A 23,063-nucleotide genomic window follows, 5' to 3' on the forward strand; every position below is an offset into this window, starting at 1 on the left:
ATAAATAGCTGGGCATGGTGGGACATGCCTACAGTCCCAGCTACTCAAGAAGCTGAGGTAGGAGGGTTGCTGGAGCCTAGGAGGTTGAGGCTGCTGTGAGCTGTGATCACACCACTGCACTCAGCTTGGGCGACACAGAGACCCTGTCTCAAAAATAAATAAATAAAAAGAAAAAACAATAGTAAACCTATTACACATTAAACATAAATAACATTTTTATGACCAATAACAATATTTTTCCAAAGCAAAAAAAAAATTAGTGAAAAGCATGGCACTGTTTTACAATTTTGCAAATCTCCTTAATGTCTGGGCTTATCAAAGACAGTTGGACTTTCCTATCTGCATCTGTGTTCAATCTGTTGTACTATCTCAGCTTATGTAGACACAAGAAAACTTCACTGTAGTCTTGTGAGAATGAGAATGAAATGGGAAAATTAATATCTTAGTATTATTATGAAAATAGTTTTGACCTTGCAGACCTCCAGTAAAAGTCTTGGGGACTGCTGGGGGTACCCAGGTCACACTTTCAGAACCTCTGCCTTATGAGTTAGGAGATATTATCTCCATTTTTCAAATGGGCAAACTGAGACAGAGAGGTCAAGGAATTGTCCAAGGCCATACTGCTAGAATAGCTCAGAGTAGCTAAAATGCAATGAGCATAACAGATTTAACCTCAATTGTTTGTTGCAAGGATTGAATGAGATCGTGAATATAAAGAGCAGGACATCCTGCTTGTCTTATCACAAATGCCCAATAACATTAATGTTTCCCCGCCAGGTGCGGTGGCTCATGCCTGTAATGCCAGCACTTTGGGAGGCCGATGCAGGTGGATCACGAGGTCAGGAGTTTGAGACCAGCCTGGCCAACATGGCAAAACCCCGTCTCTACTAAAAATACAAAAATTAGCTAGGCGTGGTGGCGGGCGCCTGTAATCCCAGCTACTTAGGAGGCTGAGGCAGGAGAATTGCTTGAACTCGGGAGATGGAGGTTGCAGTGAGCCAAGATCATGCCACTGCACTTCAGCCTGGGTGACAGAGCAAGATTCCGTCTCGAAGAAAAAAAAATAATAATAATGTTTCCCATTTAGCAAAAACTGGTAGAAAAGCTGGAGAAACTTCCCACATTTCTGATCAACTCATCACACATATGACACCAGCAAGAAAAAATAAAACTCCACCACAGGTATTGTCCAGAGGAGCAGCTTTTCCTTATAGACCAAACCTTGGCCCATTCCTCAGCACAAAAGCAGCCTTTGATGACTCAGAAACGCAGGGCCTTATTCCAGCCTCTGTTAGGCAAATTACACTGGTGGACTGGGCATCTGTCACCTTGTTCCTTGGGAAACTTGAGCAAGCCAAGAAACCTGCTCCATTATTTACAGCATTGTTTTTGCATCACGCTGTATTTACAAGGAACCCTCAACAGACAAAAATGATGCCGCTAGTGTGTGCAGCCAAACCTTTAACAGAAACCAGCAACTGCGGTCTTGCTGGCCAGGTGCTCAGCACTCCCCGGCTCTCTTTGTTGATCAACTTTCTTAGCCCACGTGGCCCACCCACTCCTGCCTCCGGTGGGCCCACAGGGTGCAGGTCACTTCCCTTCTGCGGATTTGGGAAGTGGTAACACACTTGGGGAAGTGGGACTAGTGACGTTCAGACCACCACACTCTTAAAAGGCTGCCCCTAAACAGCAGGCAAGAGCAAGAGGAGCCTGAGCTATCGCTTCCACCCAAGTGCAGGTCACCAGATCTCTCATCAGCAGGGCTGCGGCCGGCCTCAGCTTCCAACCTGACCCCCTATCCCCTGCCCTTACACACCCCAGTCCATTCTCCAACCACAGCCAAACTGCACACCATGCCGGGTGCAGTGGCTCACCCCTGTAATCCCTACACTTTGGGAGGCCGAGGCAGGCGGATCACCTGAGGTCAGGAGTTCGAGACCAGCCTGGCCAACATGGTGAAACCCCGTCTCTACTAAAAATACAAAAATTAGCTGGGTGTGGTGGCACACGCCTGTAATCCCCGTTACTCGGGAGGCTGAGGCAGGAGAATCGCTTGAACCCGGGAGGCAGAGCCGAGACCACACCACTGCACTTCAGCCTGGGCGACAGAGCGAGATCAGTCTCAAAAAAACAAAAGTGCACAACGGGTAAGGTCAGTTTTCTTGCTAAAACGTCCCCGAGGTTTCCCCTACTCAGTTGGAACCAAAACCAAACTCCTTATTTTGGCCTATAAAAACCCGCCTCACCTGGCAGAAGCCCACCTCTCCTGCCACAAACAAGGCCTTCTCCCCTCCGCTTTGCTCTCTCTAATCCACCTGTAGCGCCCCTCCAGGACCTCCAGCAGCTAGAATGTCATGTCCTTGAAGAGGCTTTGCCAAATCAAAAGTTGCCACTCCACCCGGTTGTATTTGAGACTTTACAGCGCTTCTTACTTTAGAAGTTCTCTTCATTTTACTTGTATATTGGACGTGTCCCTCCCTCCGCATCCCCCTCCTGGAAGGTAAGCTTCCTGGAGAACAGGGGCTCCTCCTGGTCCCCCGCGACATCCCCAGCGCCCAGCACCGAGCCCGGCACAGACTAAGCACTCGGCTAAGGCGGATCGAATGAATGAATGGAGCCGCGGCGCCGCGGCGCCGCGTTGCCGCAGGAATCCCGGGCAAGCGATCCTGGCGCGTCCGCACCGTCTGGGGCAGCGGGGCCACAGGGACGCACGGTTCGGGTGGCCAGGCGGGACTCGGCCCGCACCCCCACCCGGCCGCGCGCCCGGCCCGGACGCCCCAGGTGCCTCCCCGGAGCGCGAGCGCCCCCACCGCCTACCCGGGCCGGCGGTTCCCCCGCACTCACCATCGTGGCTGGGCCGCCGCCTCCCCCGCCTTGCGAGCAAGGAGCGCTGGAGAAGCGAGGGCGAGAGGCGAGCGCTGGAGCCGGTGCGGCTGACAGGTGAGGCGCCCGGCTTAGACCATGGCTGCTTCCCACAATGCCCTGGCACTGAAAGTGTGCAGACTCCTCCCAGCGCGGCTGCCTCCTCCCTGCACGCTCCTCCCCGCTGCCTCCTCCCCGCGCCCTCCTCCCCGCTCCCCCCGCTCCTCGCCCTCCTGCTCTCCTTCTTTCTTCCTTTCCCCTTTCTCCTCCCTTCTCCTCCTCCTCCTCCTCTTCCCTCCTTTCTGCCTCTCCTCTGTACCCCCTCCCCGCCCCCGCCTCGGCTGCAGCTGTTCCCGCCCCGAGCCGGCCGCACCTGGAGCGAATGCACCTGCGCGCGCGGGCGTCTGTACCCCGACAGCCCGCAGCTCGGCGCGGGTGGTCAGGCGAGAGCGCGTGGCCCGCTAGGAACTCCCTGCGCGGGGAACTCCCTGCGCGGAGAACACCGGGGACTTTTCGCGATTCTGCCGCGCGAGTGTGTCCTGTATTCCTTCCGCAAACGTTTATCAAACCTGGCAAAGATACTTCCGATACACTCGCAGAAAGTGCCGGGGGCTGCCTTATCCTAAGCCTCCTAGGGAGGGAGCAGTTGGAAGAGAAAGAACTAGAAGCGTTTTCTTATCCCCTTCTGCCCCCATTTCACTTTTTAAAAAGTAAGCTCTGCAGTCTAAGGGCAAAGATCATTTTAAGCAGGCCCCCATTTATTTATTTATTTATTTATTTATTTATTTATTTATTTATTTATTTAGAGACGGAGTGTCGCTCTGTCGCCCCGTCTGGAGTGCAGTGGGGCGATCTCGGCTCCCTGCAACCTCCGCCTCCTGCGTTCAGGGTGATCCACCCGCCTCGGCCTCCCAAAGTGCTGGGATTACAGGCATGAGCCACTGCGCCCGGCAGCACGACCCCCTTTTAAGAAGTCTCTCCTAAGAAGTTGTGGTGTAGAAAGTTCGTTCTCCAATCTCTCCTCCCCTTGACTTTTCTTAAATCTAGGGCGTTGAGAGTCTCTAAACCCCCAAGCTGTAAACAGAGTTTTTTCTTTTTTCTTTTAATTATATTTACCAGATAGACTAGATGTAAGCAGAGTTTTTAATGCATATTCATGTTTTTGAGAAAGGGAGTCCACTGGTTTTATCAAATAGCTAAAGAGATCCTAGACCCTGCAAAAGTTAAGAATCATTTCCTGGGCCAGGCGTGATGGTTCATGCCTGTAATCCCAACACTTTGGGAGGCCCAGGTGGGCGGATCGCTTGAGACCAGAAGTTCGAGACAAGCCTGGCCAACATGGTGAAACGCCGTCTCTACTAAAAATACAAAATTTAGCTGGGCGTGGTGGCACACGCCTGTAGTCCCAGCTACTAGGGAGGCTGAGGCAGGAGAGAATCGCTTGAACCCGGGAGACAAAGGTTGCAGTGAGCTGAGATCATCCAGCCTAGGTAACAGAGTGAGACTCAGTCTGAAAAAAAAAATGTCATTTCCTGGGTGGTCCCTGGAACCCCAAATCAGTGAAAGTCCTTCCCAGGATGTGTTGTGTACCTTCCTAGGGATGTAGGCCCACCCAGGTGACTGAAAATATGGGAAACTCCATCCACCCCTGCATTCACACTGCAAATATTCATCACTCTAGGCCAGGCCCTACAACAGGAGCCTGGGGGACCCAGCTGGGAACAAACAGGTGGTCTGTCTCCTGGAGCTTACGTCTCTTGTGGGACAACACATAATAAACAAGTAAATAAAATATAAGAAATTAAGATGAGTGCTAAGAAGGAGATATTTGAGTTCCTCGGATGGGCACAGGGAAGCTACATTGATTTAGCTGAGTGGTCAGGTAAGTGCCCCCTGGGGAGGTGACAGAAGACTTGGATGTGAGAAGCCAGCGCTCTGAAGAAGAAGAAAAAAAAGTCCTTCTGGAAACACTTCAAAAAAGGCCTCTATGTGAGTTAAGTGCCAGGAGGCCTAGAGGTGGGCAGGGGCCAGAGGCAATGAGTGTTCTCTACATTAGGGCATCACTGCAAGCCCCCAGGAGAGCCACAGCCTCCAGCCTCAAAGCTCTCAAACCTGGACTTGTGGCATTCTGCCGGGGGCATTGGAAGAGGACTATTTGACAACAGTTAAACCCCAGGCGATGGGATGATTTTGCTTCCTGAAAGAAAAGTGAATCTAGGACAGCTACTTTTTAACTCCTATGTTCTTCCCCCAGGGTCTGTTCCTTCCCTTTCTCAGTACATCATGCTTTATCTAACTAGATAGAATCTAATCTTTGTGCTTCTCCTCCTTTCTAGGTAACTTCAGGGCAGGGCCCAGCTCTGTGCCACCATCCAGAGCCTTGTGCTGTAAGGGTTTCTTTGCTAGTGGGAAAGAAATGGAATTACTAAAGGTGAATTACAAAGCTAAAGAAATCTCAGGCCAGGCGCCGTGGCTCATGCCTGTAACCCCAGGACTTTGGGAGACTGAGGCGGGGGGATCACCTGATGTCAGGCGTTCAAGACCAACCTGGCCAAAATGGTGAAACCCCTAATACAAAAATTAGCTGGGTGTGGTGGCGGGTGCCTATAATCCCAGCTACTCAGGAGGCTGAGGCAGGAGAATTGTTTGAACCCTGGAGGCGGAGTTTGCAGTGAGCCGAGATCCCCACTGTACTCCAGCCTGGACGACACTACGAGATTCTCGCAGAAGAAAAAAGGAAAAAAAAAAAAAAAAGCTAAAGAAATCATCTCAGTGCTCTTGCCATGACAGTTAAGTCAAATATTAAAGCAGGAAAGGCCAGGAGCGATGGCTCATGCCTGTAATCCCAGCACTTTGGGAGGCTGAGGCAGGTGGATCACCTGAGGTCAGGAGTTTGAGACCAGCCTGACTAACATGGTGAAACCCTGTCTCTACTAAATACAAAAAATTAGCCAGGCATGGTGGCACATGCCTGTAAGCCCAGCTACTTGGGAGGCTAAGAGAATGGCTTGAACCTGGGAGATGGAGGTTGCAGTGAGCCGAGATTGTGCCATTGCACTCCAGCCTGGGCAACAAGAGCTAAACTACATCTCAAAAAATAAAAATTAAAAAAAATAAAGCAGGAGAAGTTTCCCTTACTGTGTGGCTTATGGTTGGAGGGGGTGTAATTAAAGATGTAGAGGTTGAGGGGGGCAGGTAACTTAAAAATTATTAGTGTCCTTTGCCTTTCCTCCTGGCCTGGCTGAGATGGGCAGAGGATGCTCTCTGGGGCCTCTGCCACCCAGTGTTTTTTCCTCCAGATTCTCACACCATACCCCAAATCACCGAAGAGGGAGGCCTGCAGTGAGCTGGACACTTCACAGGGTTATCTTGGCTGCCCCCAAAACAATCCGTAAGAAAGGAAGCACTGTGGCCATGGTACAGATGAAAGCCTGAGGCTCAGAGGCTCAACAGCAATAATAAGAGGCAGGCCGGGCACAGTGGCTCAGGCTTGTAATCCCAGCGCTTTGGGAGGCCGAGGCAGGAGGACTGCTTAAGTTCGGGAGTTTGAGATCAGTCTGGGCAACATGGGAAGACCCCATCTCTATTTTAAAAATAATAATAATAAACTAAGTGTAAAAAGAAGCTAATAAGAGGCAGGGATAAGCCTAGAATCAAGGCACTAAGATTCAAGATGGTTCCCCCTAAAGCCCTACCCCTGACAGACCTACTCAGAACGCAACAGTGAGAGTTAAGCAGTGTTTATTTCATCAGTCATTTGTCTCAGAAGAATAACATGCATTTTTAAGCTTTGACTTCTCCTTTAAAAAAAAAATTCTGTAGAGATGGGATCTTACTATGTTGCCCAGGTTGATCTCGAGAATCCCTGGCCTCAACGGATCCTCCTGTCTTGGCCTCCCAAAGTGCTGGGATTACAAGCATGGGACACCACACCCAGCCTTAGTCTTGACTTCTGTATCCCATCTTTGCTTCTGTTCAAACTCCTGACTCCACACGTGGCCCACAAATAGCAAAACCCCAGGGAGGACCCAGAGGCCCTATCACTCAAGATGTACCAGTCTAAAGAGGAGTTCCCTGGTCAGATCCTAAAGAGGCTTTTAGATTCAAAATCTAATGTCCTAGAAGACAAGTACAGTGTGTTACATGGTTCCGGTTAGGTTGTTTATGAGCTGGTGCATGTGATTCTGTGTGTGTACATTTACTCATAAAACAATGCCCTGGCATTTGGTCAACTTGATTTAGGAGTTTCACTTCTCAGATCATTCTATATTTAAATATTAGCAGAAGATGCAGAGAGAATGCAGCAAAAGCCACCATCAAGTCCACAGCAAGGGAGAAGAGCAAGTTAGGGACCTGATAATAAAGTAAAATAATAATAATCTATAAACCAAAATACTGACTTCACAGAAATTGAGATAGATCAAGCTGTGAGTTTAAGAAACTGAAAGAAGCAAAGGAGAGGCCAACTTCAAAGTCGGCTTATGCAGTGCCTTCACAGGCATTAATTGAAGCCTGGTCCTGCTGTTCTTTAATGCCCTCTTATTAATGTCTTAAGTAATCAACATCTCCAGTAATCCCTTCTGCAGCATTCAGAAATTCATCTTGTCATGGTGAAACTTTTAGTATGAGGCCTTATGCTCTTTAGAAACCCCCTTTACTTTTCAAAAGAGGGCCTATTATTCCAAATGGAAAAACTCTACTTAATATATTTCTAAAGAATATTTTCAGAAAATTTTTAATTATAAAATAATATAGGTTCATTGCAGATTTGGAAAACACAGAAAAGTGTTATTTTAAAACCTCACTCTAGGCTGGGCACAGTGGCTCACCCCTCTAATCCCAGCACTTTGGGAGGCTGAGGCTAGCGGATCACCTGAGGTTAGGAATTCGAGACTAGCCTGGCCAACATAGTGAAACCCCATCTCTACTGAATACAAAAATTAGCCAGACATAGTGGTGGATGCCGGTAATCACAGCTACTTGGGAGGCTGAGGCAAGAGAATCTCTTGAACCCAGGAAGCAAGGGTTGCAGTGAGCTGAGACCACGCTATTGCACTCTAGCCTGGGCAACAAGAACAAAGCTCCATCTCAAAAAATAAAACATAAAAATAAAATAAAACCTTACTCTATTTCTGCCAACAAGAGGCCAGGTGAGGTGGCTCACGCCTGTAATTCCAGCACTTTGGGAAGCTGAGGCAGGTGGATGCCTGAGGTCGGGAGTTCGAGACCAGCCTGGCCAACATGGTGAAACCCTGTCTCTACTAAAAATACAAAAATTAGCCGGGTGTGGTGGCGCATGCTTGTAATCCCAGCTACTCAGGAGACTGAAGCAAGAGAATTGCTTGAACCCGAGAGGCAGAGGTTGCAGTGAGCCGAGATTGTGCCACTGGGCACAGAGCAAGACTGTGTCTCCAAATAATAATAATACTAATTCTACCAATAAGAAATAACTATTGTTATATTTGGTTTATTTCCTTGCATATTTGTATTCTATAGAGATAGAAAAGGACAGAAAGATTGTGTGTGTGTGTGTGTGTGTGTGTGTGTGTGTGTGTGTGTGTGTGTGTGTGCAGGGTCTCACTTTGGTTCCCAGGCTGGAGTGCAATAGCATGATCTCACCTCACTGCAGCCTTGACCTCCCTGGTTCAAGTGATCTTCCTGCCTCAGCCCCCCATGTAGCTGGGACTACAGGCATGCACCACCACACCTGGCTAATCTTTATATTTTTCTTAGAGACAGGGTTTTGCCATGTTGCCCAGGCTGGTGCTGAACTCCTGAGCTCAAGCAATCCACCTGCCTCAGCCTCCCAAAGTGCTGGGATTACAGGCGTGAGCCACCGTGCCCAGCTGAAATTTTGTTTTTAAAACCAAAATTGAAATTCTACTGCTGTAGTTTGAATGAGAGTTCCCTCTAAATTTCATGTTGAAACTTAATCCCCACTGTGGTAGTTTTAAGAGGTGGGGCCTTTGGAGAAGTGATGATTAGTGGATTAATGGATTAGTACCTTACCAAAAGGCTGGAGGAAACTAGCTCAGTCCCTTTTTAGCCTTCCATCCCTTCCACCACGTGAGGACTCAACTTTCGCCCCCCTGGAGGATGCAGCAACAAGGCACCATCTTGGAATAGAGACTGAGTCCTCACCAGACGTTGAACCTGCTGATGCCTTGATCTTGGACTTCCAGCCTCCTCCAGAACTGTGAGAAATCAATTTTTTTTTTTTTTTTTTTTTTTGAGCAAGAGTCTTGCTCTGTCACCAGGCTGGTGTGCAGTGGTGCAATCTTGGCTCACTGCAACCTCCGCCTCCCGGGTTCAAGGGATTCCCCTGCCTCAGCTTCCCAAGTAGCTGGGATTACAAAGGCGTGCCACCATGCCCAGCTAATTTTTGTATTTTTTTAGTAGAGATGGGGTTTCACCATGTTGGCCAGGATAGTCTCGATCTCCTGACCTCGTGATCCGCCCGCCTCAGCCTCCCAAATTGCTGAGATTACAGGCATGAGCCACCATGCTCGGTGATAAATCAATTTCTATTCCTTATAAATTATCCAGTCTCAGGCATTCTGTTATAGCAGCATGAACGGACTGAGACACCTACTGTATGTACTCTTTTGCATCCTACTGGGTTTCTTGTAGTAGCATAGTTATGGAACAAATATTGTTTGAACATCTACTCTGTGATAAGAACTGTGCTTCGCACTGGGCATAGAACAGTGAAGAGAGGAGTCGTGGTCCCTCTCAGGGTGGATGTACAGTGTTATGGGGGAAGACAAATATGAAATAAATAATAACATACATAAATGTTTAATTATCATGAATGCTCTGAAAGGAAAGGATAAGATGCCAGCAAACATGCAACAAAGAAATTGCTGGTGGACATTTCCTGTTTGCCTCTCCAGCATCCATTCCCCTGCTTCCTGTAATTTTCAGTTTGGGTTTGGGGAGCCAACCCACACATAGACTCTTAACTTTAGGGGTGGCACATGATGCTCTCCTGGCCAATCAGAATATTGCTTTCCCACAGCAATAATGATTGGTTCTAAAATAAGCATATTCCCAGAGTCAAATAATTCAAGCCAATAAGACTAAATTCTGGGCTGGGCGCGGTGGCTCACGCCTGTCATCCCAGCATTTTGGGAGGCCGAGGCGGACGGATCACCTGAGGTCAGGAGTTCGAGACCCGCCTGACCAAAATGGCAAAACCCCATCTCTACTAAAAACACAAAAATTAGCTGGGCATGGTGGTGGGCACCTGTAATTCCAACTACTCAGGAGGCTGAGGCAGGAGAATCACTTGAACCTGGGAGGCAGAAGTTGCAGTGAGCTGAGATTGCACCATTGCACTTCAGCCTAAGCGACAGAGTGAGACTCTGTCTCAGAAAAAAAAAAAAAAAGACTAAATTCTGGGACATTTTGTGGAACCCTCTTGGAGTGCATCCACTCTTCCTGTTAGGCTTGAATGTGAAGGCAGAAGCTGCAGCTGCTGCAGCCAGTTTAGCACCATGAAGGCTGAGCTTCTCTATGGAGCCAACACCAAGGATTGGACTAAGAGGTGGAGAGACACACAGGTCCTAGTGACACTTTTTGAGGCCTACATCAAACCTGATGCTAACCCCTGGACTTTGCAGTTACCTGAACCAATTTGGGTTCACTTGTGACCAAGTTGATTCAGGACATAAAAGAGTCAGGGAACAGAAGTATAAACTTGGGCCTGAGGAATGAGCGAGAGTTAAGCTGGCCTGGAGCAGAAATGAAATACAAAAAGCAATTGAAGCAGAGGAGACAGCCTGGTCATGAGCAAGAGACCTGGAGTGGGAGTGGCCACAGAATATGGCAGCAAGAAAGCCAGAGTTCAGGAAGGGGGTGGATCACGCAGGTCCTTGGAGGTCTCATTAAGGATTCAGAATGGGAGACCAAGAAATGGAGATCATTTAAGGCTTACACAAGCAGTGAAGTGGCAAGATCACGCTTTAGAGATGTTTATTAGTAATTCCATAATCTGGCTGGTTGCAATGGCTCACGCCTATAATCCCAGCACTTTGGGAGGCCAAGGCGGGTGGATCACTTGAGGTCAGGCATTCAAGACCAGCCTGGCCGACATGGTGAAACCCCATCTCTACTAAAAATACAAAACTTAGCCAGGCGTGGTGGCGCATGCCTGTAATCCCAGCTATTCAGGAGGCTGAGGCAGGAGAATCGGTTGCACCCGGGAGGCAGAGGTTGCAGTGAGCCAAGATCACGCCATTGCACTCCAGCCTGGACAACAGAGCAAGACTTTGTCTAAAATAAATAAATAATAATAATAAATAATTCCATAATCCTATTTGCTGCAGTGTCGAGAATAGAACCGTGGCAGAAGAGAGACAATGCAAGGAGATTTGTTAAGAGGTATAACATTTCAAGTGAGAGATGATATGGTGGCTTCAACCAGGATAGTCATAGTGGACTTTTCACTTATTATACATGAGAATCTCCCAATATCAATTTCTAGCTTTTTTTTTTTTTTCAGACAGAGTTTCACTCTGTCACCCAGGCTGGAGTGCAGTGGTGTGATCTCGGCTCTCTGCAACCTCCGTCTCCCCGGGTTCAAGCGATTCTCCTGCCTCAGCCTCTGGAGTCACTGGGATTACAGGCGTGTGCCACCACACCCGGCTAATTTTTTGTATTTTTAGTAGAGATGGGGGGTTTCGCTATGTTGGCTAGGCTGGTCTCGAACTCCTCACCTCAAGTGATCCACCCACCTCAGTTTCCTAAAGTGCTGGGATTACAGGCATGAGCCACCACACCGGCCAATTTCTAACTTAAAAAAAAAAAAGAAAAAAAATCCACGATACTTAAAGGACATTTAATAGGCCATTTTGGGCTACTCATTTTCTATTTCCGTACAATTGGATAAGTAATACAATTCCTGGAGTCTATGTTCTTAAAACAAAATACAGAGATTGTTTCCAGTTGTCATTTTACAAATACTACAACAGAAGTCCTGTGCATAAAATTTGTGTCCAAGCTTCTGGTTATATCAGGATAAATTCATAAAGGGTTTTGTGTGTGTGTTTGTTTTTGTTGTTGTTGTTTAGGGTTTTTTTTTTTTAAACAGGGTCTTGCTTTGTTGCCCAGGATGAAATGCAATCACACACAATCATGGCTCATTGCATCACTATCTATGTATTCATCAAGAAAGATTGTACGGAGTATATGAGAGTCTCTGTTTCACCAATTCCTATCAGTAAGGACAACTCATGTGATTCTTGAGTTAAGAATAAGTTCCTGCTGGGTGTGGTATGATCTCATTCCACATTCTTTCAATCCATTCTCATTAGGCTTCTGCCCTCACACTCCACCAAGCTACTTTTATAAGATTACCAATGAGATCACCATGAGCTTGTACTGTCTGATCCAATGGGCAACACTCAGCCTTCATCTCATTTCACACATCAGCAGCATTAGACCACACTGCTCCTGTCCCTCTCCAGGAAGAAAAACTGCTTTCTTGGCCTCTACAGCACCCCTCTCTGGGCTCTCCTTCTCCTTCATTGGCCATGTCCCTTTGTTATTGTTGAATCCCCCTCATCTCCCAAACCTCTACATGTTGTCATACCCAAGTTCAGTCTTTGGATAGCTCTCGTCTTCACACTTACCCCGTAGTTTAGCTGGAACATGGAGAAAGTTAGGAAAGTGGGTGTTTTAAAGCTGCTAGTGTAGGTTAAGACCAATACTTTGAAGACAACTTATGCCAAATAATTTAGACAAGGAAGATTTGTCACAGGGTTTTGAGTCGTGTTGATGAAAAGAGTCAAACTCTGTAAAATATTTTAAAAGATTTATTCTGAGCCAAATATAAGTGACCATGGCCTGTGGACACAGTCCTCAGGAGGTCCTGAGAACATGTGCCCAAGGTGGCCGGGGTTGGGGCACAACTTGCTTTTATACATTTAAAGAGCCATGAGACATCAATCAAATATATTTAAGAAATACATTGGTTAGGTCCAGAAAGGCCGGACAACTCAAAGGCGGGCGGGGTAGGAGGGAACTTCCAACATTTTCTGGTTGACAATTGGTTGAGTTTGTCTAAAGACCTGGGATGGATAGAAAGGAAATGCTCAGGTTAAGATAAAAGATTGTGGAGAACAAGGTTCTTTTTGAAGTGGCTGCCCTTAGAGACAACCGATGACACATGTTTCCTATTCAGATCTTTAAAAGGTGCTAGACTTTTAGTTAATATCTTTACTATTGCGGGGGATGGCACGGGGGTACCTGGAAGAAAAAGATCCAGCTATGTTAATGGAGATTCTCCGCAGATGCAAATTTTCCCCCACAAAGGACAGCTTTGCAGGGCCATTTCAAGATATGGCAAAGAAACATGTTTTGGGGTAAAATATTTTTATTTTCTTCCTTGTCTTGTAATGTTATGCCAGAGTCAGGTTGCAAAGTAACTCATGATATATAGAGCTAAATAAAACCCATCTGATGAGAATTTATGGTTTATAGGGCATGACCCTCCAGACCCCTTAGATAGGAATTTGGGCAAGATTAAAAAAATCAGAGCTTAGTTCTCAGTCAGGATGAGGATGATGGGGGCAGAGTACAGGGCAAGGGGTTAATGTGTGGCTGGAACAAGGCTGTGCCTGGGGGGAGATCAACTTGAGAAGGTATTAGGCTGCAGGGCATAGGGACATAATGCTGGAAGAAACTGTTCAAAGAGCTGCGTGCCCAATTGGGTGAGACTTTAAATGTATTTTTTTTTCAGATTTGAGAAGAATCTGGTCATCTGGCCGTGAAATTCAAAGTCTGTGTATAACTTAATTCATAGACATGTGTGCATGTACACACACACATGCCCCCATAGAAATGACTCTTTGAATTCCTCAAACATTCAGTTCCTTTAGGTTGTGGCTTTTATTGCCAATTGAAATTAATCACCAGGGAAGGCCAGTATACAAATTCTCGAGTTGTTTCCATTTCTACATGAGCATGTTTACAACATGCTTTCCATGCAGTTAGGGTTTATGAAAAGAGGGGTATGAGTCCAGAGCCAGAGCCATGGTGGGTGCCAGACAGATCCCTAAGGAAAGGGCAAAAGCCAGCAAGCCAGATGCCACAGGTTTACAGTCACCAGGGATGTCCTCCACAGTGGATGCCTTGAGTAGGCCCCTCCCTCTTCAGGAAAAGGCTTGGACTTCCAGGCCCCAGGTCCATCCATAAATTACTTTTGTCCATTATCTCTAAAGACCACAAATTCATTAAAATGAAACAAAACATAGCTACATACATATCACCAAGGGTTGGTCTGCCTTATTGTTTGTTCATGACATCCTTAGGATTTGTGTAGACACAGCACAATGTGAAACTGTGAGAATGTAAAATTATTAAAGAATGAGGCAAATATACCTAGAGTCACTTTCATCTTCTGCACTAGGGGTTTAATGGCATCTTAATCCAGATGACCTATCATATTAGTCCATTTTCACGTTGCTGATAAAGACATACCCGAGACTGGGCAATTTACAAAAGAAAGAGGTTTAATGGACTTAGAGTTCCATGTGGCCAGGAAGGCCTCACAATCAAGGTGGAAGGCGAAAGCCATGTTTCACATGGCGGCAGACAAGAGAAGAGAGCTTGTGCAGGGAAACGCCCCTTTTAAAGCCATCAGATCTTGTGAGACTCATTCACTATCATGAGAACACCGCAGGAAAGACCCACCCCCATAATTCAATCACCTCCCATTAGGTTTCTCCCACAACATGTGGGAATCGTGGGAATTACAATCAAGATGAGATTTGGGTGGGGACACAGCCAAACCATATCACCTATATCTACTAATTAATACTATTCAAATGTTATCACACTATAAATTTTATATGGTTTGCCTGTGTCGCCACCTAAATCTCATCCTGAATTGTAACTCCCATAATTCCCATGTGTCACAGAAAGGACCCAGTGGGAGATAATTGAAACGTGGGGTTGGTTTCCCCATACTGTTCTCCTTGTAATGAGTTAAGTCCGTGAGATCTGATGTTTTTATACGAGGTTTCCCCTTTCACTTGGCTCTCATTCTCCCTTGCCTGCTGCCATGCAAGACTTGACTTTGCTCCTCCTTTGCCTTCCACCATGATTGTGAGGCCTCACCAGCCACGTGGAATTGTGAGTCAATTAAACCTCTTTCCTTATAAATTATGCAGTCTCAGGTATGTCTTTATTAGCAATGTGAGAACAGACTAATACAGTAAATTGGTACTGATAGAGTGGGGCGCTGCTATAAAGATACCCGAAAATGCGGAAGCGACTTTGGAACTGGGTAACAGGCAGAGGTTGGAAGAGTTTGGAGGGCTCAGAAGAAGACAGGAAAATGTGGCCTTGACAAAAATGCTGATAGTGATACGGACAATGAAGTCCAGGCTGAGGTGCTCTCAGATGGAGATGAGGAACTTGTTGGAAACTGGAGTAAAGGTGACTCTTGCTACGTTTTAGCAAAGAGACTGGTGGCATTTTGCCCCTGCCCTAGGTTCGTGGAACTTTGAACTTGAGGAAGATGATTTAGGGCATCTGACAGAAAAAAATTGCTAAGCAGCAAAGCATTCAAGTGATGACTTAGGTGCTATTAAGAACATTCAGTTTTAAAAGGGAAACAGAGCATAAAAGTTTGGAAAATTTGCAGCCTGATGATGCCATGTGATAGAAAAGAAAATCCAATTTTCCAAGGAGAAATTCAAGCCAGCTGCAGAAATTTGCATAAGTAATGAGGAGCTAAATGTTAATTGGCAAGATAATAGGGAAAATGTCTCCAGGGCATGTCAGAGACATTTGAGGCAGCCCCTCCCATCATAGGCCCTCAGGCCTAGAAGGAAAAAATGGTTTCCTGGCCATGTCCAGGGCCCCCCTGCTATGTGCAGCCTAGGGTCTTGGTGCCCTGTGTCCCAGCCACTTCAGCCATGGCTAAAAGGGGCCAAGATACAGCTCAGGCCATGGCTTCAGAGGGTGCAAGCCCCAAGCCTTGGCAGCTTCCACATGGTGTTGAGCCTGTGGGTGCACAGAAGTCAAGAACTGAGGTTTGGGAACCTCTGCCTAGATTTCAGAGGATGTATGGAAATGTCTGGATGTCCAGGCAAAAGCTTGCTGCAGGGGTGGGGCCCTCATGGAGAACCTCTGCTAGAGCAGTGAGGAAGGAAAATGTGGGGTAGAAGCCCCGACAAAAAGTCCCCACTGGGGCACTGTCTAGTGGAGCTGTTAGAAGAGGGCCACCAGCCTCCAGACCCCAGAATGAAAGATCCACTCACAGCGTGCACTGTGTGCCTGGAAAAGCCACAGACACTCTATGCCAGCCTGTGAAAGCAGCTGGGAGGGAGGCTGTATCCTACAAAGCCACAGGGGTGGAGCTGCCCAAGACCATGGGAACCCACCTCTTGCATCAGCGTGACCTGGATGTGAGACATGGAGTCAAAGGAGATCATTTTGGAGCTTTAAGATTTGACTGCCCTGCTGCATTTTGGATTTGCATGGGGCCTTTAGCCTCTTCATTTTGACCAATTTCTCCTGTTTGGAATGGGTGTATTTATCCAATTCCTGTACCCCCATTATATCTAGGAAGTAACTAACTTGCTTTTGATTTTACAGGCTCATAGGTGGAAGGAACTTCCCTTATCTCAGATGAGACTTTGGACTATGGACTTTTGAGTTAATGCTGAAATGAGTTAAGACTTTGGGGGACTATTAGGAAGGCATGATTGGTTTTGAAATGTGAAGGCATGAGCTTTGGCAGCGGCTGAGGTGGAATGATATGGTTTGGCTGTGTCCCCACCCAAATCTCACCTTGAATTGTGGCTCCCATAATTCCTATGTGTTGTGGGAGGGACCCAGTGGGAGATAATTGAATCATGGGGGAGGTTCCCCCATAGTGTTCACATGGTAGTGAATAAATCTCTCAAGATCTGTTGTTTTTATAAGGGGCTCCCCCTTTCACTTGGCTCTCATTCTGTCTTGCCTGCTGCCATGCAAGACATGACTTTGCTCCTCCTTTGCCTTCCACCACAAATGTGAGGCCTCCCCAGCCATGTGGAACTGTGAGTCAATTAAACTTCTTTCCTTTATAAAATACCCAGTCTTGGGTATGTGTTTATTAGCAGCATGAGAACAGAGTAATATAAAATGCTAGATTGTCTTTACAAAAAAAAAAGAGTGTATATTCAAAGGAAAAGAGGACTTTTTTAGGGGGGCAGGGGGGTGGAATGGAGTCTGGCTTTGTTGCCCAGGCTGGAGTACAGTGGTGCAGTCTCAGCTCACTGCAGCCTCTGCCTCTCATGTTCAAGTGATTCTCATGCCTCAGCCTCCTAAGTAGCAGGGACCACACCACATGATTCACCACATCCTGCTAGTTTTTTGTATTTTTAGTAGAGATGGGGTTTTACCATGTTGCTCAGGCTGGTCTCAAACTCCTGACCTCAGGTGATCCGCCCACCTCGGCCTCCCAAAACTGAGATTACAGGTGTGAGCCCCCATGCCCAGCAAAAGAGTACATTTTTGTCTATGTGATTATGCAAAGCCTGCCCTAATTGCTATTAAATTATTTTATTTTCTTTTTTGAGACAGTGTCTTACTCTGTCATCTGGGCTGGGGTGCAGTGATGCAATCTTGGTTCACTGCGGCCTCGACCTCCTGGGCTCAGGTAATCCTCTGACCTCAGCCTCCTGAGTAGCTGGTAACAGGCACCCAACACCACACCTGGCTCCTCTTTTTTTTTTTTTTTTTTTTTTTGTAGAGATGCGTTTCACCATGTTGTCCAGGCTGGTCTCAATTCCTGGGCTAGAGTAATTTGCCCATCTTGGACTCCCAAAGTGCTGGGATTACAGGCATGAGCCACTGCACCCAGCCTGAATTCTTAGCAATAATCTTTGAAATCTGCAAATAGACATGACTTACTTGGCATCATCAAACAAGATTTATCAGGTCTTTCTTTCAGAACAGAGCCCAGTTATAATGGCAATCTGATTAAAGGCTAACTCAACTAAAGATAAGTGCCCCTGGGAGGAGCAGCAACTGAGTTTCTCATTGGCTCAGAGAGGAGCAGCTCCTGAGTTTCTTATCTGGTAAGTCCTACTGAATATGAAGTACTTGAGCAAAGCATGCTGATGGTTATCACGGCTACATCAAAAAGGAAAAGGTATGGTATGCAAATGCACCTTAGATATGGGCTGGCAGTTATAGTCACAGTCAAAAACGCAGTATATGTCGGAGTAATGGTTGCTAAGACTTAAAGCCATTAGAGTAACCAGAATGTGTTCCCATGTAAAGACCAGCTTTTGAGTTGATCCTACAGTCAGTGTTGGTTGACTTGCCTTCCCCACTCAGGGTCTTGGTTTAAAAGAATGGGTGTCATTCCTGACTGCTGCATCCCACTCTTATCTGAGTTCTGCTACCATTTACTCACCATCCACATGCATCCTACTTTAGAAATCTGAATGCTCAAATAATTGCTACACTATAAAAAGTGCTCAGGCCAAGCCCAGTGGCTCACGCCTGTAATCCCAGCACTTTGGGAGGCCAAGGCAGGTGGATCACTTGAGGTCAGGAGTTTGAGACCAGCCTGCCCAGCCCAACATGGTGAAACCCTGTCTCTACCAAAAAATACAAAAATTAGCCAGGAGTGTTGGCATGCGCCTCTAGTTCCAGCTACTCAGGAGGCTGGGGCATGAGAATTGCTTGAACTCAGGAGGTGGAAGTTGCAGTGAGCTGAGATCGTGCCACTGCACTCTAGCCTGGGTGACAGAGTGAGACTCCATCTCAAAAAAAAAAAAAAGAAAAAGAAAAGAAAGAAAAGAAAAAGAAAAAAGGTGCTTACGGCTATCTGACATATCCAGTGGCCTAGAACTCCAGGAGAAGGTATAGGCAATTGCTCAATACAACAAAGTGATGTTTGGGGCCATGTTTAGAGCTGTGTAGAACAGAGCTTCATATATGAAAGGTCTTTGTTTGGTCTGAAGCTTAATGGTATCACACATTGCCAACCCCCTATCCAACATACTGAACTCCATAGTTGGTGTTAAATGTCAACATCAGCCAGAGAATCGTTAGTTAGCCCTGGTGCTCCTGATGAGTAATCTTTGGTTTTGTAGCTTTTAGGTGAACTCCCTGTGTAATCCTATGACCATGTGTAGGTTCAGCATAAGTGAAGTCACTAGGTAAATATATATATTGGGCAAGGGACCGAACAAACCTCAAGGACAGTGATTCAAAATCCATAGAATAGTTGGGGGCTTGGAGGGTTGGGAAGGATGGAGAACAATCAGTTACCTAGCCCTCAAGTGAGTTGGAAAGGGAAACGTTTGAGAGCTAAGCCCTACCCAGGGTATTGTGGATTCATAGTCCTGTGCTGAGTCCTGGATTGTCTTACAGAAGGAGAGAAGCATCTGCAGCCAGAAGCCTTGAGCACTGGTCCAGCTTCTTCTCCTACCAGTCAAGTGACTTTGGGCAAGATACTTCACTTCATTGTGCCTCAGTTTCCTAATCTGTAAAATGAAGATAATAATTCCTATGTCTCCTAAAGATGCTGGTAGGATTAGTCAGTACTCAGTAAGTATAGCTATTATTACTACTAGTATCAGAGGTGTTTTTTTGTTGTTTTTTGTTTGTTTGTTTTTTAAGACAGAGTCTCACTCTGTTGCCCAGGCTGGAGTGCAGTGGCATAATCTGGGCTCACTGCAACCTCTGCCTCCTGAGTTCAACTGGTTCTCCTGCCTAAGCCTCTTGAATAGCTGGGATTACAGGCACATGGCACCATGCTCTGCTAATTTTTTTATTTTTAGTAGAGACGGGGTTTCGCCATGTTGGCCAGTCTGGTCTCGAACTCCTGACCTCAGGTGATCCGCCTGCCTTGGCCTCCCAAAATGCTGGGATTACAGGCGTGAGCCACCATGCCCATCCATCAGAGATGTTTGAACCCAAGTGACTCCATCTTGAATAGGGGCTGGGAAAATAAGGCTGAGACCTCCTGGGCTGCATTCCCAGAAGGTTAGACATTCTTAGTCTCAGGATAAGATAGGAGGTTGGCATGTGATACAGGTCACAAAGACCCTGCTGATTAAACAGGATGCAGTAAGGAAGCTGGCCAACACCAACCCAAACCAAGATGGTGATGAAAGTGACCTCTTGTCATCCTTACTGCTCATTACATCCCAATTACATTAACATGCTAAAAAACTCCCACCAGTGCTATGACAGTTTACAAGTACCATGGCATTTGTAAAGTTACCCTATATAGAAGTTATCCTATATATAGTCTAAAAAACTATAGGCTATATACTCTAAAAAACCCTATATAGAAGTTACCCTATATAGTCTGTTCCCTCAGTTCTGGGAAATCTCTGCCCTTTCCCCAGAAAACTCATGAATAATCCACCCCTTGTTTAGCACATAATCAAGAAATAACTATAAGTATACTCAGTTAAGCAGCCCATACTGCTGCTCTGTCTATGAAGCAGTCATTCTTTTGTTTCTCTACTTCTCGAATTAACTTGCTTTCACTTTTACTCTATGGACTTGCCCTGAATTCTTTCCCACGCAAGGTTCAAGAATCTGCTCTTGGGGTCTGGATAGGGACCCCTTTCTGGTAACACTAGTGGTAAATGTTAACTATTGTTAATTAAAATTATAAAATTCAGCATGAAAAAGCTGCCTTGCATACACACTGCTCAAAATACCTTTTGCCAAAGCAGGTGAAGATGGTGCAGTCTTATGAGCATGTTTAAAAGCAATGGTGGGCCGGGCATGGTGGCTCATGCCTGTAATCCCAACACTTTGAGAGGCTGAGGTGGGTGGATCACTTGAGGCCAGGAGTTTGAGACCAGCCTGGCCAACATGGTGAAACCCTGTCTCTACTAAAAATACAAAGAAATTAGCCGGGTGTGGTGGTGGGCACCTGTAATCCCAGCACTCAGGAGGCTGAGGCTCGAGTATCATTTGAATCTAGGAGGTAGAGGTTGCAATGAGCTGAGATTGCACCATTGCAGTCCAACCAGGGCGAGAGAGAAAGACTCTGTCTCAAATAAATAAATAAATAAAAGCAATGATGAGAGCTGAGTGAGATGCCTTGGAATATCACCAGCAGTGTGAGCCCCACTCGAATTTCACATGAAACTCAACAAACAAGCAGAACAGTCATCGCACACAGAAGCAGGCTCTGTGCGGTCACATGCATAGGATTCTGCAGGGTAAGGAATATAAAAGCATACTGGTATTTGGTGGATCTGTAAAGTGGAGATTGTTACGTGAAGCAATGTCAGTAGGCTGCCTCCCACATTCAGAAATTTATGTGAGAAAATACTTTACCTTCTTCTATTTAAAACAATCAGGGCTACTGCAGTGGCTCATGCCTGTAATTCCAACACTTTGGGAGGCCAAGTCAGGAGAGTTGCTTGAGTCCGGGAGTTCAAGACCAGCCTGGCCAAGACCTGGCAAGACCCCATCTCTGTTTAAAAAATAATAGTAAAAAAAAAAATTAGGCAATCAAGTACTTTACTTTCTAATTTCTGTCCTTATGATATTATGCCACCTTAAGAATGTAGTTACATGTTGGCTTTTTCTGATGTGGGTCTAAAAACAGTGTTAAATTGGTAATAGGTCCTGGCTGGTCATCTTACCTTTAAGTCAAACATTCTGCCCCTTTGACCTAGAGTTGTTAGGCGTGGGTGAAGCAATCAATTGCCAGGAATTCTTTCAGCACGGAGGTTTTCTCTGCAAACTCATCCTCCTTTTATCTTTTTTCTTAAAACACATTCTTGTCCTTGACACTTGTTTCCTCTTTCCTAACATATTTTAGAAAGCACTGAGATAGTTCCAGGTCCTCTGTGTAGGTTATTATCCCTCTTTTATCAGAAAGGAAAACAGACTCAGAATGAGTAAGTAACTTGTTAAGATCATCTCACTAGCAAAGCACTGGCATTCAAATTTGGGTTATCTTGGCTCTCAAGCCCATGGTCTTTCCACTGCCCTTATTCTTGCAGCCTCCAGTTTGTATCTGGACTTAGAGTTTTCCTTTATGCCTGTCCTTCATTCTCCACTCATTTAGCTACATTTATTCTACCCAAACCTTGGATGTTTGTGGGCAAAATTCTGAAGAGTGCCCCCTGTCCTGCACACCACGTTCTCTTCATCCAGCCTGAGGTATGGAGTTGCCACCCTGGATGTGGGCCAAGGTTCCACGGATTCAAAGACAGAACTCAAACAACCATGGGCCAAGTCCTGCTGAGGCCTCAGGGAAGCCATGGAAACTTCATCCAGAGAAGTGGCCCCAGGCTTGGTGTGCAGAGAGTCACTGAAGCAACGCGCTAAAACCACAGCAAGCTTGGACTAATTACAGCACCTCTCCGTGCTTCAGTTTCCTCATCAGTAAGTGGAAATAATATTAGTACCCAACTCATAGTTTTCTTGTGAGAATTAACCACAATAATTACCTGAAAAGTGTTTAGCATGATGCCTGGTACCTAGTAAATGCTTGATAAAAGTTCACTGTTCTAGCCAGGCACAGTGGCTCATGCCTGTAATCCCAGCACTTTGGACAGCTGAAGTGGGTGGATTGCTTGAGCTCAAGAGTTCAAGACCAGCCTGCACAACATGACAAAACCCCATCTCTACTAAAAATAAAAGTTAAAAAAAATTAGCTCGGCATGGTGGCGCATGCCTGCAGTCCCAGCTACTCGGGAGGCTGAGGTGAGAGGATCACTTGAGCCCGGGAGGTTGAGGCTGCAGTGAGCCAAGATAAAGCCACTGTGCTCCAGCCTGGGCAACAGAGTGAGACCTTGTCTGTTTTTTGTTTTGTTTTGTTTTGTTTTTGAGACGGAGTCTCACTCTGTTGCCAGGCTGGAGTGCAGTGGCGTGGTCTCGGCTCACTGCAATCTCCACCTCCTGGGTTCAAGCGATTCCCCTGCCTCAGCCTCCTGAGTAGCTGGGACTACAGGCGTGCACCACCATGCCCGGCTAATTTTTTGTATTTTAGTTGAGATGGGATTTCACCATGTTGGCCAGGATGGTCTCGATCTCCTGACCTTGTGATCCACTTGCCTCGGCCTCCCAAAGTGCTGGGATTACAGGTGTGAGCTACCACACCCAGCCATGAGACCCTGTCTCAAAACAAAAATTTTGTTTTCATCTTGTTGTATTCCTGAACTTTCAATCTCCTCTCTCCTCCTTCAGGGTGCATAGCCCATCTATTATAAATA

General features: G+C 46.4%; 1 protein-coding gene and 1 long non-coding RNA gene across 5 annotated transcripts in view, besides 4 other annotated features; both read right to left on the bottom strand.

Moving 5' to 3' along the window:
* Positions 1 to 2,979, bottom strand: part of AP1S3 (adaptor related protein complex 1 subunit sigma 3) — an 82,257-nt gene extending 79,278 nt beyond the window's left edge. For all 4 annotated transcript variants that reach the window (NR_110906.2, NR_110905.2, XM_011510600.4 and 1 more), the window contains exon 1: positions 2,845 to 2,979. Coding sequence is in view for 2 of the 4 variants with exons in the window: in XM_011510600.4 (XP_011508902.1) it covers positions 2,845 to 2,847 (3 nt within the window). In the remaining 2 variants the exon portion in view is untranslated. The remainder of the gene's footprint in view (positions 1 to 2,844) is intronic.
* Positions 2,386 to 2,475: an enhancer, noted in NCBI's record as "active region_17174". NCBI's record gives its function as "activates an Ori minimal core promoter by ATAC-STARR-seq in GM12878 lymphoblastoid cells {active_cell/tissue: GM12878}" and the evidence as "EXISTENCE:reporter gene assay evidence [ECO:0000049][PMID:35858748]".
* Positions 2,586 to 3,015: a silencer, noted in NCBI's record as "silent region_12376". NCBI's record gives its function as "represses an Ori minimal core promoter by ATAC-STARR-seq in GM12878 lymphoblastoid cells {active_cell/tissue: GM12878}" and the evidence as "EXISTENCE:reporter gene assay evidence [ECO:0000049][PMID:35858748]".
* Positions 3,046 to 3,175: a silencer, noted in NCBI's record as "silent region_12377". NCBI's record gives its function as "represses an Ori minimal core promoter by ATAC-STARR-seq in GM12878 lymphoblastoid cells {active_cell/tissue: GM12878}" and the evidence as "EXISTENCE:reporter gene assay evidence [ECO:0000049][PMID:35858748]".
* Positions 3,346 to 3,525: an enhancer, noted in NCBI's record as "active region_17175". NCBI's record gives its function as "activates an Ori minimal core promoter by ATAC-STARR-seq in GM12878 lymphoblastoid cells {active_cell/tissue: GM12878}" and the evidence as "EXISTENCE:reporter gene assay evidence [ECO:0000049][PMID:35858748]".
* Positions 12,665 to 22,424, bottom strand: LOC124907988 (uncharacterized). Its single transcript, XR_007088099.1, has 2 exons — positions 21,175 to 22,424; positions 12,665 to 12,932 (listed from the first exon to the last, which is right to left on the bottom strand). It is a non-coding gene; the product is annotated as an uncharacterized LOC124907988 (long non-coding RNA).
* Between the last annotated feature and the right edge of the window lie 639 nt (positions 22,425 to 23,063).

Source organism: Homo sapiens, chromosome 2, assembly GCF_000001405.40.
Source record: "Homo sapiens chromosome 2, GRCh38.p14 Primary Assembly".
NCBI classification, from domain to species: Eukaryota; Metazoa; Chordata; class Mammalia; order Primates; family Hominidae; genus Homo; species Homo sapiens.